This window comes from Homo sapiens, chromosome 9 (assembly GCF_000001405.40).
Source record: "Homo sapiens chromosome 9, GRCh38.p14 Primary Assembly".
NCBI classification, from domain to species: domain Eukaryota; kingdom Metazoa; phylum Chordata; class Mammalia; order Primates; family Hominidae; genus Homo; species Homo sapiens.
The window spans coordinates 112,011,557-112,027,999 of NC_000009.12; the positions used below are offsets into that span (position 1 = coordinate 112,011,557).

The 16,443-nt window shown below is 41.3% G+C and overlaps 4 annotated features.

The window, feature by feature from the left end:
• Positions 535–584: an enhancer, noted in NCBI's record as "active region_28806". NCBI's record gives its function as "activates an Ori minimal core promoter by ATAC-STARR-seq in GM12878 lymphoblastoid cells {active_cell/tissue: GM12878}" and the evidence as "EXISTENCE:reporter gene assay evidence [ECO:0000049][PMID:35858748]".
• Positions 695–834: an enhancer, noted in NCBI's record as "active region_28807". NCBI's record gives its function as "activates an Ori minimal core promoter by ATAC-STARR-seq in GM12878 lymphoblastoid cells {active_cell/tissue: GM12878}" and the evidence as "EXISTENCE:reporter gene assay evidence [ECO:0000049][PMID:35858748]".
• Positions 1,075–1,124: an enhancer, noted in NCBI's record as "active region_28808". NCBI's record gives its function as "activates an Ori minimal core promoter by ATAC-STARR-seq in GM12878 lymphoblastoid cells {active_cell/tissue: GM12878}" and the evidence as "EXISTENCE:reporter gene assay evidence [ECO:0000049][PMID:35858748]".
• Positions 1,165–1,404: an enhancer, noted in NCBI's record as "active region_28809". NCBI's record gives its function as "activates an Ori minimal core promoter by ATAC-STARR-seq in GM12878 lymphoblastoid cells {active_cell/tissue: GM12878}" and the evidence as "EXISTENCE:reporter gene assay evidence [ECO:0000049][PMID:35858748]".

Here is a 16,443-nt window from a genome sequence, read left to right on the forward strand (position 1 = left end):
ACAGTAGGAAAATGAATGAACTTGACTGTATCCCAGGAAGACTTTATTTATGGACACTGAAATTTGAATTTCATATAATTGCATGGGTCATAAAATATGATTTTTTTTCCCAAACACTTTAAAATGTCACCATTCTAAGCTCATAGGTTATACAAAAACAGACGACGGCCCAGATTTGACCTATGGGCCAACCCCTTATCTACGAGGTTTCCACCAAGTTGCCTGCTGGCCAAGCTTATAGAGTGAAGTTGGACATCCCTGTTGTTCCCCTGGAAATCTTTGCCAGAGCTGAGAGCCTCCATACCCAGAGTCAGAAAGACCTTTCTAGGCTCAACATGCAGTCATGGCTCCCGGACACCCTGTCATCTTCCTGAGATTCTATGGAGGGTGGGCCACAGAGCCCCATTATTTTAAAAACTGTGCATATCCTTTCCTTCCCTTGGGGAATAATCTTAAGGACTGTGTCTCTCAAAAACACTCTACCACTTCTTCTCCTAGCGCAGCATGCTCAAATCCCTCAGAGTGAAGGAGGAAAAAGTCAGGACGGAAAGTGATGTGCAGGCTTCTTCTTTGGGCCCTGAAAGCTCAAAGTCCTGGCTACCTGCCCTGAAGGCTGAGTAATGTACAAAGAAAACAAAGACAAATAACTCAGTAAATTATCCGGCCTAGGATCAGAGCTTTCTAGCCCCAGAGCAAGCTCAGGCCTCAACATTCTAAGCTTAAGAGGTCAGGCTGTCCCTCCATATTTCAATGGGTACAGGTCTTGAGTTTCCTCAGAAAACCTCTGAAGGGAGGTCACAGTTATGGGGACAAAGAAGGAAAGTGTTGGATTCAGGACACCAGGCTCCACTGAAGGTGACTCATGGTTTTGGCTTGCAAGCAACGTTGCTGATCACTTTGACCAACCACAGGTCCCTGCCAGCTGCACTCCTCTCCAGGAGCACTCCTATTTTTATATGTGTGGTACAAAGAACTCCTACCAGCTAATTTCCACTTCCCCCACAAAAGCCTGTTTTACTTCTGCTTTGAGTAAAAAGCTTTCCTCTTTCTGGTCTCAAAGCACACACTCAACAGTGCCTGTAATTCACAGTCATCTGGTACCCTTGGCTTATCTCAGGCCCCTGTAGTAACAACTGGCTCCAAGCATGTCTCCTACAGCCACAAGCTCCAGTGGGGTAGCCAGGTTCACTGGAAGAGAATGTTCCCTACACAAGGGAATCTGAGACAGAAAAAGTCATCCTCAGAAAGTAGGGACTGGTGGACATGTGAGCCTGGGAAATGAGAACAATTTGTGCTGGGAAGTTGCTCATGTAAAGAGTTCACAGAGCAGGTATCTGCTGCCCAGGCTTAAACTCTCAAGTGGAAAATGGAAACCATCATTCCAGATTGGCTTCTTACCCTGTATCTGTGCATTCATCAACCTTTGACAATAAGGTCATTTCTTAGCCCCACACATAGCATATAGGAAAGATTTATCCAAGCCCTGCTATTATAGATGAATAAATGAAACACATTCAGGAGGTTGCCCATACAGTATTTGCCTCATTTTCCCCACAGCTCTAGAGAAAGGACATTTTATAAGTTCTGTCATTCCACAGAGCTGTACAAAGCCGCCTGGCTTAACTGACTTAATTTCTTTTTTTTTTTTTTTTTAGAGACAGGATCTTGCTCTGTCACCCAGGCTGGAGTGCAATGGTGCAGTCATAACTCACTCCAGCCTGCAGCTCCTGGGCTCCAGCAATCCTTCCACCTTGGCCTTCCAAAGCACTAGGATTACAGGTATGAGCCACCATACCCGGCCTTCACTTTTTTTTTTAACTTGACAAAATGGTTCTTAAGTTCAAGATGGTTAGCATACATCTGCTTTCAAGACAGAAAGAGGGGGAAAAAGAAGGAACAGCCACAGTTGTTCACGGTATCAGCGAAGTAAAAACTTTCCCAGAAACTCCCCTAGTAGACCTCACTTCTGCTTAATTAACTGGAACTGTACTTTCTGTCTGCCCAGAGCAACAAAGGAGATTGGGAACTTGAGTGTTCAGCTTCTTCAGCCCCTAGTGAGGAAGAGGAGAGGGATTTGGATGGTATAGAAGGAGTCAGTCTGAATTCTGCTTCAAATAGCTAAACAATTTTGAAAACTAAAAGCCCAACAGGGAAAACTAGCTCTGCTCTCTATTAAAATTATAAAATTATAGAACTATGGGATATAGTTTCATACAATATCATAAAACTATAAGAATAAAATCAAAGTTGAACACACAGGATTTGGCAGAGATTAATAGGAGAGACAAATTAGCCCAGAAACAGATCCTAATACTCAATATAAGGGTTTTTCTGTTTGTTTTGTTTTGTTTGTTTGTTTGTTTTTTGAGACAGAGCTTCACTCTGTTGCCCAGACTGGAGTGCAGTGGCGTGATCTCGGCTCACTGAAACCTCTGCCTTCTGGGTTCAAGCGATTCTCCCGCCTCAGCCTCCCGACTAGCTGGGATTACAGGTGCCTGCCATCACATCCGGCTAATTTTTGTATTTTTAGTGGAGATAGGGTTTCGCCACATTGGCCAGGTTGGTCTCAAACTCCTAACCTCCAGTGATCCACCCACCTCGGCCTCCCAAAGTGCTGGGATTGCAGGCAGGAGCCACCGCGCCTGACCAATATAAGACTTCTTTAAAAGCCATCACAGATTTCCCAGGAAGAAAACTTCCATTCAATATAATAAACATTGGTGCTATTGTGCTGGAATAATTGGGAAGAGAATATATTCTCACCATATCAACCGTTCTTACCATGACATATATAAAAACTAAATCCATAAAGAATAAAATAAAGGAGAATAATTTTGTACTCTTCAGTCAAAAGACAAGAACTGAGCAGAAAGCTTGGCAGGTAGGAGGGAAGGACTGGGTATGGTTATGAGACCACCAGGGCTGTGGCCCCCACAAGTAGGATACTGAAAAAGGTCAGCAAGGCAGGACCAAACACCGCTTAGTGATGTGGCTGTATCTGTGTCAGTGAACAAACAGCCTATGGGCCAATTCCAGTTTGCCAGCTGTTTTGGTGTGCTCGCAAGCTAAGAATGGTTTTTATACTTTTACATGATTGAGGAGAAAATCAGCAGAATAATATTTCATGACATGAAAATCATATGAAATTCACATTTCAGTGTCCATAAATAAAGTTATTGAGACACAGCCACACCCATTCATTTAGGTATCATCTGTGGCTACTTTTGTGCAACATGGCAGACTTGAGGACTTACAACAGAGAACACCTGGCCTACAAAATCGAAAATATTTATTATCTGGCTCTTGCCAGAAGAAGTTTGCCAATTCCTCAGCTCCATGATGAAGTGAGTTTGCTGCGTAAGGAACTTGTGAGACTGAATCAGCCATGGCTGTTGTTGGAGGGAAAATTAATCCAGAGGGGAATTCATCATCTACCCCGACTGATGGGCCAGGGTCCCTTCCTCTCTTTGAAGCTGATGGTCTGAGCAGAGGATGCCTGCACTAGCAGTCAGGTGAAGTTAAATTTGCATTTTGAAGTTCCCAGGGGCACAACTTCTATCTCCCCTAGAACGAGGCTGAGTTTTCCAGGAAATTTGAAGTGAGAACTGGGAAATGTGGAGACTTCTGAGAGGGCTGTAGAAGGAAGAGGGAAGATGAGCTATAGAGAGATTAGGGAAAGAGGGCTCTGCACGGAGCACCTTATTTCTGGAGGTGGTTAGAACTTGACCTTTATGATATATAAGGGGAATGAGTAAACAGAACAAAGTCTCAGTTTCCACTCTGTCGATAATACACGTACTCTTCATTAACTGATCTGTGATTGTCCTATTATTAGCTAGCGTGTGTTTGGTCTGTGGAAACATTGTGAGCAGAAAGTTCTAGGGCAGGAGAGAGCAAACATTGTTATGCCACTTTGTTGGGCTCTGGCAGAAATGATTCTATAAATTCATCAATCCCCTTTCATAGATGATGATGATGATGATGATGATAAAAATAAAAAGAGCAGTTAGCATTTAATGAGCATTTACTATGTGCCAGGAGTATGGATTATATAATTTAAACCTCAAAATCATCCTTTGGAATTATGCTATTGCCATCCCAATTTATTCAGATGAGGAAGCAAAACATGTTAGGTGAATCATCCAAAGCCACCCAACTGGTAAGTGATGAAGTCAGGGTGCAACCTTAGTGGAGGGACCCCAGAGATCACGCTCTTAACCCCTATCTTGTCCTGTCTACTTTGCCAAAGAGTCACAAATCTACCAGACTGGTTGCTACAGTGAGAGACCTGAGACCAAAAGCAGTAAAGATGGTTCTCCCTGGAATGAGAGAGCATGCAGCTAAGTAGCCTAATTTCCTGCCCTCCTTCCACCCTGTAGATTAATAAGAAACACCTTCATACCACAAAAATGAAGACCACTGCCACATGCAGGGTTCATCCAGAATTGCTGTTTCAAGTGCTCTTTCAAAAGCAAAGGGAGCAAATGCTTTCTAAATGCCTCATATTAAATAAGGAAAGCAAATTCTCCTTTTTATTTATATTTATTTTTATTTTTATTTTGGAGATGGAGTCTCGCTCTTGTTGCCCAGGCTGAAGTGCAGTGGTGCGTGCGATCTTGGCTCACTGCAACCTCTGCCTCCCGGGTTCAAGCAATTCTCCTGCCTCAGCCTCCAGAGTAGCTGGGATTACAGGCGCCCGCCACCACGCCTAGCTAATTTTTTGTATTTTTAGTATAGACAGGGTTTTACCATGTTGGTCAGGCTGGTCTCCAACTCTTGACCTCAGGTGATCCGCCTGCCTCAGCCTCCCAAAATGCTGGGATTACAGGCATGAGCCACAGCACCCAGCCACAAATTCTTCTTTTTAAATCCCATCATTGACAAATAGAGAATTATAACTTAAATAATGCTTTTAAAAATCTTAAAGGAAACCATAAGTAGAATTTAAAATGTGATTGATTACATAAGAACACAAAAGTGGCACAGAATAATAAAAAGATGGACAGATATATATGAGGAAAATGCAAACTAAAAAGTGAGGATTGTGGTTGTTATTTTAGATGAATTCAGGGAAAATAATTAAATTTTTAGAAGACACATACTTTATAATTGATATTTAAGAGCTGTTATCTTTTATGCATCAAATAACATGACATCAACATATAGAAAATAAAAACTTCTGGAAATAAGGGGGAAATGACAAAAATATAATCAAAGTGAGAGATTTTTTAATATTCATATCACTATTTGCAAACATACAATAAGAGAAAAAGAAGCAAGGACAAAGAGGAGCTGATTAATAAATAATAAGACGAGGATCAACTTAGAAAAGAGTATGTTGTCTGTAAGGGTTTTCTCTGGACCCAGCTCCCCAAATCTAAGTGACAGACCCCATGCACAGTTCTCTCTGACATTTCAGACAAGCATAGTTGCAGTAAAGATCCTTGTATATGTATGCTTACATACTGGTGTTGTTATTTTCTTGACGGTTGGTTATCAGGTGAGATTTCAAGGCCAAAGCTAAGTATGCTTTTGATTTTCAGAGATGATGAGACCGATTGCCTTTCTAAAGACTATAAAAATTCATATTCCTACCACATCATCACTGCTGTTTTACGTTCTGCCAAAAGGCATTTCATAATTACCTTAATTTTTATTCCTCCGTCTTCCACATTTATTGGAGAGTTGGATTTCCTTTTCTATAAATGGTCTATTTATATCTCTGCCCCCTTCCCCCCACCTTTTTTTTTTTTTGTCTATTTATATCTCTGTCCCCTTTGCTCCTTTTTTTGAAAGCTCTGTCGCCCAGGCTGGAGTGTAGTGGCATGATCACAGCTCACTGCAGCCTCAGCCTCCCAGGCTCAATTGATCCTCCCACATCAGCCTCCTGAGTAGCTAAGACTACAGGTGCACACCACTATACCTGACTTATTTTTTTTTTTTTTTTTTTTTTGTAGAGACAGGGTTTTGCCATGTTGCCCAGGCTGGTCTTGAACTCCTGGGATCAAGCGATCCACCTGCCTCAGCCTCCCAAAGTGCTGGGATTACAGGCATGAGCCACTCTTTCTATTATACTTGGTACTAGTGTTTTTTTCCCTATCATTTGTCTTTTGATATCTGTTGGTGTTTTTCAATAGGTATACACAAACTTTATTGTAGCCAATTATATCTATATTTTCCTTTATAAATTCTGGCTTTCCTGATTTGCTTATGAATTCCCTTCTTACCCAAGTTTGTGCCCATATTCTCCTAAATTTTCTTCTTTTTTTTACATTATATCTTTAATCCATTTGAGATTTACTTTTCATAGGTGATACATGAGGAAAAGATCCCACTTCATTTTCTTAATTTTCTTCTCCAGCACTAGTGATGAAATAGAAGACGCTTTGCCTACTTACAGTTCACCTTTATTGTATATTAATTACCCACATAGATCCAAGATTATTTCTGGACTCAGTTATGTTTCTCTGATCTATATATCCTTATGTCGAGATCGAATTGTTTTTATTACCATTGCTTCATATAATTTAATTTTATTTATTTATTGAGATGGGATCTCATTCTGTCCCCAGGCTGAAGTACAGTGGCATGATCTCAGCTCACTGCAACCTCTGCTTCCCGGGCTCAAGTGATCCTCCCACCTCAGCTTCCCAAGCAGTCGGAACCACAAGCTCTTGCCTTTACATCTGGCTAATTTTTGTATTTTTTGTAGAGACAGGGTTTCACCACGTTGTCCAGGCTGGTCTCAAACTCCTGGGCTCGAGCAATTCTCCCTCCTCGGCCTCCCAAAATGCTGGGGTTATAGGCATGAGCTACTGCATCTGGCCTCATAGAATTTTATTTTATATTATTTTATTTTATTTATTTATTTTTTGAAACAATCTCACTTTGTCACTCAGGCTGGAGTGCAGTGGGGTGATCTCAGCTCACTGCAACCTCTACCTCCCTGGTTCAAGTGATTCTCCTGCCTCAGCCTCCCGAGTAGCTGGGATTACAGGTGCCCACCACCATGCCCAGCTAATTTTTGTATTTTTAGTAGAGACAAGGTTTCACCATGTTGGCCAGGCTGGTCTCAAACTCCTGACCTCAAGTGATCCACCCGCCTTGGCCTTCCAAAGTGCTGGGATTATAGGCGCGAGCCATAGCACCTGGCCTGAATTTTAAATGGTGTTGAATAACTAGTAAAATGAAGTGAGAAGCTATTGGATTTTGTTAGTAGGAAACCATTCATCATCTTTGAGGGTAGAGTTTCCATGGGGCCATACAGATGGAAGCTAGATTTGGGGCTGCTTGGTGATTAGTGGAAGGTATAGATTGTTCTCTTGAAGAATTTGGCAGTAAGACAGTGGAAGGTGATATGGTGGATTGAGTGGGAAGCAGGAAAAAGGAAAATATTTTAAAGCCCAGGCAAGATGTGTATGTGTGTGGCCTAAGACAAAGGAGTCAATTGAAAGCAAATAAACGACAACTGAAGACCCACATCCCATAAATGAGTTCTACGCACCCATAATCTTCTTCCCAATATAACTAAAATGATGTGATTGTCATAAAATAGTGTTACTTAGTAATAGGCTCTACACAACAAGTATTGCCATTAAAGCTTGGCATAGTCTCAATTCAACATTAAGTGCTGGATTAAAAAAATAATACAATTGGCCAAGCGTGGTGGCTTTCACCAGTAATCTGGGCACTTTGGGAGGCCAAGGCAGGTGAATCAGAAGAATCCCTTGAGCCCAGGAGGTTGAGGCAGTGAGCCAGGATCGTGCTACTGTGCTCCGGCCTGGATGAGAGAGAGAGACCTTGTCTCAATAATAATAATAATAAAATCAACTACATCCTCTCCATTGGTAAAAACAATGATGAGGTTTCTCTGGCAAGTATGATGACCCTGGGAGACAGACACCAAGAAAGAACACTGGCGGAAGCTACCATCACTGGATTCCAAGGACTCCAGGGGATGTGCTTCCTGAGACCCAAGGTAGTCACCATGGTTTTGCCTGGAATGAACATTTTCCCTTTTGCTCTACTCCCAACAGGACCATGGCTAAACTTGCACCTGGGACTGTGAGGCAGTGGTTTCCAAATTTGGCTGCACATGAGAATTACCTGGGGAGGTTTTTTAAAATCTCCATGACCATGTGGCACTCCAGACCAATGAAATCAGAATCTCTGCTTGTGACACCTGAGCATCAGTAGTTTTTAATGCTTCCCAGGTGATTATAATGTGCACTGATTTTGGGCGTCTGAATCAGTTGACAATGTAATACAGCTTTTTGAAACTGGGACATGTGGTGGCTCACGCCTGTAATCCCAGCACTTTGGGAGGCCGAGGAGGGTGGATCACGAGGTCAGGAGATCGAGACCATCCTGGCTAACACGGTGAAACCCCGTCTCTACTAAAAGAAAAATACAAAAAAATTAGCCAGGCGCGGTGGCTGCCGCCTGTAATCCCAGCTACTCCGGAGGCTGAGGTGGGAGAATGGTGTGAACCCGGGAGGCGGAGCTTACAGTGAGCCGAGATCGTGCCACTGCACTCCAGCCAGGGCGACAGAGCGAGACTCTGTCTCAAAAAAAGAAAAAAAAAAAAAAAAAAGAAACTGGGACATGTGCATTTTTACCAGGTCTGGTGTGAAGAAATATCAGGGACAGGCAACGAAGATGCCTTCAGATGACAGAGCGTATTCTCTGTGAGCCAGTTTACTTAGAATGTCCTTTCAGGAAAATGCCATTGATACCTTGAATTGGGGTATTTTCCAGTCTGCTAAAGGATACCCAGGGGGTTTCTAACATGGCCAAGAATTAGTAAAGCACAAGAGTGCAGAGTGGGGTTCTTTAGTAGTTGTGCAGAAAAAAATGAAAATAAAAATTTAAATATCACGAGACATGAAAGAGAAGCTACTTCCAGTATGCAGTCGAGTGTGAAAATTCAATTACAAGAAGCAAGAAAGTAAGCCGGTGGCTCACGCCTGTAATCCCAGCACTTTGGGAGGTCGAGGCAGCAGGATGGTTTGAGGCCAGGAGTTCAAGACCAGCCTGGGCAACATAGCAAGTCCCTGTCTCTACAAAAAAAAAAAAAACTTTTTAAAGAAAAATACAAAAAAGAAAGAAAGTAGTCATTCATTTAGTAGTTTCCTAGGAGGCAAAATTATTTACTTCTCAACTCTGCCAGTAGTTATAATAATGTTTAAACCGGCTGCCAGGAGGCATTTAAAAATTAACTATCCTACAAATTGTTTTGACATACAGGCACCTACGACACATATTCTCATCCACCCTAAAATCAAAGTTTGCAAGACTGGGAATATGTTTAGCAGGAAACAAAGTGAATCATACTGAAACTTGAAAAATAGCACACTAATGTGTCACCTTTACATTGAGAAGCAAAGTGAATCATTTGCTAATGTTTGATTTTTAGTACCAGAGGTCAGGTAATTTTTATCTGAGGTCAGTCTTTTTTTGATCTCTTAACTAGAAAATAGCAAGTTGAGTTTACCACCCAGAGGATCTTTTAATAATGAAGCAAATTTCTGCCTTCACGTAATTTTTTTGTTGTTTTTTTTTGAGACAGAGTTTCACTCTTGTTGCCCAGGCTGGAGTACAATGGCATGATCTCGGCTCACTGCAACCTCCGCCACCCAGGTTCAAGCGGTTCTCCTGCCTCAGCCTCCCGAGAAGCTGGGATTACAGACGTGCATCACCATGCCCAGCTACTTTTTGTATTTTTAGTAGAGGCAGGGTTTCTTTCACCATGTTGGCCAGGCTGGTCTAACTCCTGACCTCGGGTGATCCACCCGCCTCGGCCTCCCAAAGTGCTGAGATTACAGGCAGGAACCACGGAGCCCAGCCTCATATAATTCTGTATACACATAAACTTTCCAAGCTCAGGTTGTAGGGCACAAAGCCTTAGGTTAGAAGCCCTGGGTTGGGATCCTAGCTCTGCTAGGTACTGGTAGGTGACCCTGGATAATGACTTAACCTCCCTACACCTCAGTTTTATCAAGTTTAATATAGGATTGATGATGGTGGTGGTGATGATAATGATGATGATGAAGATAATTGTTTCCAAAGTACTTAGCTCTATTCCTGCCATAGGTAAACATTCAATAGATGATAATCATTCCTCTAGCCATATTCTCTTTATAAATTGCCTAAAAGACTCAAAGAAAGGGCAGGCATGTTGGCTTATGCCTGTAACCCCAGCACTTTGGGAGGCAAGGGGATCACTTGAGCCCAGGAATTTGAGACCAACCTGGGCAACATGGAGAAACCCCGTCTCTACAAAAAATGCAAAAATTAGCTGGATATGGTGGTGTGTGCCTGTAGTCCCAGCTACTCAGGAGGCTGAAGTGAGAGGATTATCTAAGCCTGGGAGGTTGAGGCTGCTGAGAGCCATGATCACGCCTCTGCACTCTACCCTGGGTGACAGACCAAGAACCTGTCTCAAAAAAAAGACCCAAAGAAATATCCCTGCTTATGATCACTTGTTATGTAAAGATTGCATAGAAATAGATTAAATGTTTGGGCATTAATTTAAAAACATGTGGTTTCATTTGGAAATGCACTATTCTGAATCTTAATTCTTGATTTTGATCCCTCAGCTGGGCCTGCTCTCCTTCCAAAGTTGGACTCCTCTCTCTCAGTTACTCTCGTGCCCTTTCTCTGGTAAAAAATTAAAAATACACAGAGTAAACAGAGTACAAATTATTGGTTTATTTTTAAACTTTACAGGTTCCCTCGGAGACATAATCATTTCCCGTAAGCATGTCAGCTCAAGCTTGCTTTTCCTGGCTCTCTGCTGCCACCACCATTCCCACAATCCAAGCTCCTTGGAACCTCACACTTCCCCATTTTCAGTGCCATCGGGGGCTGCCCTCTGGGACAGTCATTATTTCAGTTCCATTTCTCAGTCTTTCTGTCTGCCTCCTACTCCTCCATCAATTCGTGGTGCTGACATTTCAAATAGTTTTGTACATGTCCAAATACAGGGAGGCCCCCTCGTTAGTAAATTTTATTTTATGTTTTTTGTTTGTTTGTTTGTTTGTTTGAGACGGAGTCTCGCTCTGTCGCCCAGGCTGGAGTACAGTGGCGTGATCTCCACTCACTGCAAGCTCCACCTCCCGGGTTCATGCCATTCTCCTGCCTCAGCCTTCCGAGTAGCTGGGACTACAGGCGCCCGCCACCACGCCCGGCTAATTTTTTTGTATTTTTAGTAGAGATGGGGTTTCACTGTGTTAGCCAGGATGGTCTCGATCTCCTGACCTCGTGATCCGCCTGCCTCAGCCTCCCAAAGTGCTGGGATTACAGGCGTGAGCCACCGCACCCGGCTTATTTTATGTTTTAATTTATTTTTTTGAGATAGAGTCTTACTTTGTTGCCTAGGCTGGAGTGCAGTGGCCACGATCTCAGCTCACTGCAATCTTTGCCTCCTGCATTCAAGCCATCCTCCAGCCTCAGCCTCCCAAGTAACTGGGATTGCAAGCATGTGCCATCATGCCCAGCTAATTTTTGTATTTTTATTAGAGATGGGGTTTCACCATGTTGCCCAGGCTGGTCTTGAACTCCTGACCTCAAGTGATCCACCTGCCTCAGCCTCCCAAAGTGCTGGGATTACAGGCATGAGCCACCGTCTCTGGCCTCATTACTAAATTTTAATCACTCTCTCGTACACTAGAAGAGACATACCTAGGACTTTATAAACACCTAAATCTCAAAGTTTTCAAATATTGCCTTTCCTCATTTCTCCCTGTTCTCTTTTCTGAAAACCTAATTATATGTATTTCTAATTTTCACCTTCTATCCTCCATATCTCAACCTCTCTTTTATATTTTGCACAATCTTCTCTGTTTATTCTTCATTGTGGGTAATTTGGTAATTTCTTTAGATCTGTCTTCCTAGTTGATAAATTCTCTCTCCATCTAACACTAGGTCTTATTTCCATCAAACTGTGTATTTGCACTCACTGATCAACTTGAGAAAGGTTTTGTAAAAAGTATTTGTGTTTGGGCCAGGCAAGATGGCTCATGCTTGTAATCCCAGCACTTCGGAAGGCTGAGGCAGGCGGATCACTTGAGGTCAGGAGCTTGAGACCAGCCTGGCCAACATGGTGAAACCCTGTCTCTACTAAAAATACAAAAATTAGCTGGGTGTGATGACACATGCCTGTAGTCCCAGCTACTCGGGAAGCTGAGGCAGGAGAATCATTTGAAACTGAGAGGCAGAGGTTGCAGTGAGCCAAGATCATGTCACTGCACTCCAGCCTAGGCAACGGAATGAGCCTCTTAAAAAAAAAAAGTATTTGTGCTTCATTTCTGGAAATTCTATTTGATTCTTTTTAAATTATAGTTTTTGAGCAGATAATAAAGCCACATTCAAAAATTATGTGGCTTTATTATCTGCTCAAAAACTAAATGTATACGTTTAAAAGGTATAAATTGAGAAGTTTTAGTCCTACTCCATCCCTGCCCACCCCCCATAGATAATCAGTTTAATTAGTTTCTTGTATATGCTTCCAGCGTTTCCTCATGCAGGAAACATATATGTATTTTTATCTTTCTCTTTTTCTTACACAAAAGTTAGCATAATATATATGCCGTTATCCGTTTAATTTTTTTTCACTTTAAAAGTATAACTAGGAGATGATTCAATTTGGTTATTTTTAAATCTTCCCAGTCACAGACAATACTGTCTGATTACTTATCCATTTTTAAATTCAACCTTTTTTTTTTTTTTTTTTTTTTTTGAGACAGGGTCTCACTTTTGCCCAGGCTGGAGTGCAGTGGCAGGATCTCAGCTCACTGCAACCTTTGCCTCCCAGGCTCAAGTGATTCTCCTGCCTCAGCCTCCAGAGTAGCTGGGATTATAGGTGCCCACCACCACACCTGGCTAATTTTTTTATTTTTTAGTAGAGACGGGGTTTCACCATGTTGGCCAGGCTGATCTCAAACTCCTGACCTCAGGTGATCCACCCGCCTCGGCTTCCCAAAGTGTTGGGATTATAGGCATGAGCCACTGTGGCCAGGCTTTTTTTTTTTTTTTTCAATCTTATTTATATAAATATCCCATGCATAGTTATTTTATATTCTGTGTCTAATAATTCCAATATCTGAAGTCCCTGGAGTTTCCATGTGATTAGTTAAAGATTCGGCTAACTCTCACAGTGACTCGTTTCCTTGAATGTTTGGTGGTCTTTGAGATCTAGTTCATAATAATTAATGGGATCCTGATGATCCAAATTAAAGATGTTTTCCTCCAGAAAGAATTTGCATTGGCTTCTGCCAGGAGCTAGGGACAAGGGGTGTTACTAACCTGCAATAAGCAAACACCATTCAAGGGTCTTCTGCTTAATCTCAGTCTCTCGTTTAGTATCCCCTGTTCCACCCACTGGGGACTGCATAATTACAAAATTTAGGCCTTCGTTGAAACGTTGACACCAGTGTTTGCCTGGTGTACTTTCATTTCATTTGTACGTTCATTTAATTGTTCTATTTCAGCACCAGTACCAAGTTATTTACTGCAAGCCTTATGGTACAGTTTAATATCTGATAGGGAAAGTCTTTTCGTTTTCAAAATTTACTAGGTTCTCATAATAATTTATTTTCCCAAATGATCTTTTAAATTATTTGCTCATTGATACAGTTTCGATATTTGTCCCCACTGAAGTCTCATGTTGAAATATAATCCCCAATGTTGGGGTGGGGCCTGGTGGGAGATGTTTGGATCATGGGGACAGATCCCTCATGAATGGCTTGGGCCATCCCCTTGGTGATAAGTGAGCTCTCGCTCTGAGTTCACATGAGATCTGGTTGTTTAAAAGTGTGTGGCATCTCCCCCTCACTCTCTGTCTCTTTCTCACTTGCTCTTGCTTTTGCCACATGACATGCCTGCTCCCCCTTTGCCTTCTGCCATGATTGTAAGCTTCCTGAGGCCTCTCTAGAAGCCAAGCAGGTGCCAACACCATGCTTCCTATAAAGCCAGCAGAACTGTAAGCCAGTTAAAACCTCTTTTCTTTATAATTTATCCAGTCCTGGGTATTTCTCTATAGCAATGCAAGAGTGGCCTAATACACTCATGGACTTTTCCAAAGTGAAACAATCTGTGAGGACTTATAAGGAAAATGATGGCAGAAGTGTATGTTAACCTCCAAACCCTATGTCAATGCAAACAAGAATGAATAAAAAGAACTGAAAATTAAGAAAAGGACTCTATATTGCAGTGAGGAAAGCCCCCAACATTAAACCACACACTCTGAAGATGAAGAATGCCAAATATAATGTCATGTGGAGCAAGTTGACAGAGTCCCATGATCAAACACAAATCTCCAGTTCATGAGCACAGTGCAGTATGGCAGGTCCTAAGTGTAAGAAATTCCAAAAGATCCCACCAATATAAGTGCTAGGGGCATGAGCAAGCTGCTGGAAAAATAAGGAACACTCTTCCTTGGAGCCCACTGACCCATTATTGATTACTAAGGAATGTGGTGTTGCAAGACATTCTGCCCTGCTGAGCGCAGTTTTTCCTCCATCATCATTTTCTATCAGATTGGGGCAGTATCTGGAGGCAAAGTCTACTTCACGATCACAGGGAGCATTGAACAATCCCTTGATGACACAACTGGAAAACCAAATGAAAAAAAGATAAATAATTTCTTTTATTATTATTATAATTATAATACTTTAAGTTCTGAGATACACGTGCAGAACGTGCAGGTTTGTTACATAGGTATACGTGTGCCATGGTGGCTTGCTGCACCCATCAACCCATCATCTAGGTTTTAATCCCCGCATACATTAGTTATTTGTCCTAATGCTCTCCCTCCTTTTGCCCCCATCCCCCCAACAGGCCCCAGTGTGTGATGTTTCCCTCCCTGTGTCCATGTGTTCTCGTTGTTCAACTCCCACTTCTGAGTGAGAACATGAGGTGTTTGATTTTCTGTTCCTGTGTTAGTTTGCTGAGAATGATGGTTTCCAGGGGATAAATAATTTCTATACTAAACTGTTCTAGGGCAGAGAAAGAAGAAATTCTTGCCAATTAACAAAAACCAATGTAAGACTGTTTTATATAGATAATACACAGGAGAAAGCTAGAAATATCTCAAAATTGATTTTTAAAAATTCTTAATAAAGTATCAGCAAATATAATCTAGGAGCAGATTTGGTTAAAGAGCAATACACCATGACTGCAACTTTTATTCCAAGAATGCATAGGTGGCTAAATATTAGGAAATCTATTAATACTGATGAAAGGAAGATAAAAGTATATGATCCTATGGTAGGTATCAACAAAACGTTTCATAAAACTTCGTGTCCATACCTGATAAATGCTCTTTGTAAAATGGGATTCGGTGAATATTTCTTTACATCAAAACATCTCTTAAACCAAAAGTTGATATCATGCTTAGTGATTTTCATCTTATAATCTACATAAGATTATGTGATGGACATTGCAAATAGACAAGAGAACAAAATAAGAAATTTAAAAATTAGAATGAAGAAGACAAAATTATCATCATTTGTAGATAATAGAAAGTCTAAGAGATTCAGCTGAAAACTATTAAAAAGTAAAAGAGTAAAAGAGAGCTCAGAAAGTTTTCAGGATATAATGTTAATATTCAAAAATCAAACATCTTATAATGCATTAAAACATAATCTAAAATAAATCCATTTGTGAAAGTATAAAATACATACAAATAAATTTGAATTATATGGAAAAAAAACAGAAAAAAAATGTGATTAAGTGAAAAGGCATACCCTGTGAGGGAACAGAAATATTTAGTATGGTATAAAATATAAATTCTTCCAAAATAATCTGGGAAATCATCATCATTTTGGTCAAAATTCTAACATGATAATGTGGAAGGGAGCTTTTTTTTTTTCTTTTGAGACACGGTCTTACTCTGTTGCCCAGGCTGGAGTGCAGTGGCATGATCACTGCAAGCTCTGCCTCCTGGGTTCATGGCACTCTCCTGCCTCAGCCTCCTGAGTAGCTGGGACTACAGGTGCCCGCCACCACATCCAGCTAATTTTTTGTATTTTTAGTACAGACGGGGTTTCACTGTGTTAGCCAGGATGGTCTCAATCTCCTCACATCGTGATCCGTCAGCCTCGGCCTCCCAAAGTGCTGGGATTAAAGGCGTGAGCCACCGCGCCCCACCCTGGAGCATTTTAAAAAATATTTAAATGCATGATACAAAGGTGGCATCTCAATGGTGATTGGGTAAAGATAATCATATAAATAATTGTGCTATTATAATTATGATGAATGGTATTAAGAAAAAATACAGATTGGTGTGAAATGTTTTAAATACAATGCGGGTTCTTGTTTCATTCATTACACCAAATACATTCCAAATGCAACAAATGTTTTAAAGTACGGCTAAAATTGCATGAGAGCTAGGAAAGAAATGGATAAATATTTTTAAATCTTGGGTGGAAAGTCTTTCTGAGC